Source organism: Homo sapiens, chromosome 13, assembly GCF_000001405.40.
Source record: "Homo sapiens chromosome 13, GRCh38.p14 Primary Assembly".
NCBI classification, from domain to species: domain Eukaryota; kingdom Metazoa; phylum Chordata; class Mammalia; order Primates; family Hominidae; genus Homo; species Homo sapiens.
In genome coordinates, this window is record NC_000013.11 from 85,929,015 (window position 1) to 85,930,904 (window position 1,890).

Genomic DNA, 1,890 nt, shown 5'->3' on the forward strand with positions numbered 1-1,890 from the left:
AAGTGCAGAAAAAGTCATATCAAAGAAATGTAAAATTTAGAGGTTGAAGTAATACATGCCCAAATGCTATTTATTCATCTACTTCCAAAACCATTGAATAATGCGATTTCATTTTCATAAGTTTAGGAATGTCACATACTCAAAAGACAATTTTGATAAAACACTGATTTCTGTATTCCCTACTTAATTAATTTGGAGTGCCCGATTGTTTTCTAATGAAGTATCTTATTGCACAAGTATTAATTTAGTCACAGTAATTTCCCATATGAAAAAGGCATTTATTTAATGTGATATATTCATTTCATTCCAAAGGAAGAGATGCAATGTCATATTAAAATTAATGTATCATTTCATATTATGTTTTCTTATCTTTAGTAGAAATAGACACACTTCTGTTATTTAATATTAAAATTTAAATCTGAAAAAATTCACAAAAATAGTGCATTGTAGTAACATTGTCTTCATAACCTTTTTCTATTACATTACTACACAGTACATTAATTATTTTTGACCAACATAAACATTCAATATATTTTTATTTTCTGACAGGAGTAGAGCTAGCGTTCACTTTGAATTATTTTTCTTATGATTTCTAATATTACACATCTCTAAATGTAAGGTAACTTTAAAACGTTTATATATATAATATTTGAATCCATACATGCACATACCCACACACGTATCTATACATGCTGTAGAGTATAACATAATTTTTTCTGAAAATTTTATATTGACATCTAAGATTACTTTTTGTAATATTACTATCTGTAATAAATGTATTAGTAATTTATATCCATAAACAATTATATTTAACTACATTTGCATCTGGCCAAAAACATGCACCCCAACTTAATTTTTCTGAGAAACACAAGTACATTAATTTAATCAGGCATCTTCTTCCAATAAAAGGAAAATTGAAGAGGTGAATAAAACAATTATGCATATTGAATGAGTGTATTTTTCAATTGATTTGCCATCCGAGAGTAATTAAAAGAGTTGCTAGCATGTAGCAAACACTACATAAATAATAAAAATCCTTTTTCATGTATTTTTAACTAGAAGAATGGAAATTATGTTCCAAATTTGGCTGAGCTGTTGTGGGAAGGACAAAGAAAGGCTTATGACATCTATATGTACATTTTCTCATGTAGGGAAAAATCTGTCAATGTTTTAGGCTTAAAGACATATTTCCATGACTTGATTCTGGTTCGTGTTTCATGTTTTTTTTTTTCTGTAATATTGTTGTTAACTCGAGCAAATCAGTCACAGGGGATTAAAGTCCACAGAAACTTGCTTGTCAGTGTTTACTGTCTCTTTCACAACTACCAACATACAGGTGTCTCTTCTGCTATCTAAGAAACCCTTCCAGTACTTCTCAAGCTCTGTCTCCTGAGACACACTTGAAATGCTACATCTTCCATAAAACTCCACTATTGCTACTTCCTATATAAGTTCTCCTCTTTTTCACCTTTTAGGATATTCATATATTTAACTAAACTCTCTTTTTTGTTTTCTGTAGACTGGCTCTTCTAGGTAACAGTTGCCATTCACTTTTTAAAAAAGCAAAAGCGTTTAAGTCAAATCCTACCTCACTATCAATGCTCATCCACTCACCAGAAATGCACCTTTACTTAAATATTCATATTTGTAGATATTATAGTCACTTCATTATTTTGTTTGTATATATATTTGATCATTTAACTCTTTTACGGTATAGTATGTTGTCTCTTGCTTATAAAAAAGTTGTAGTCTTATTAAATAATTTCACCTGAGTGTTCATCACATAAAAGGAAAAAATTGAGAACTGAGATAGAATTTCTTGTTATATGAATTTATTTGCATTATATTCTCAAATTTTACTTCTTGTTTTACTTCAGACCGATCTTTTTA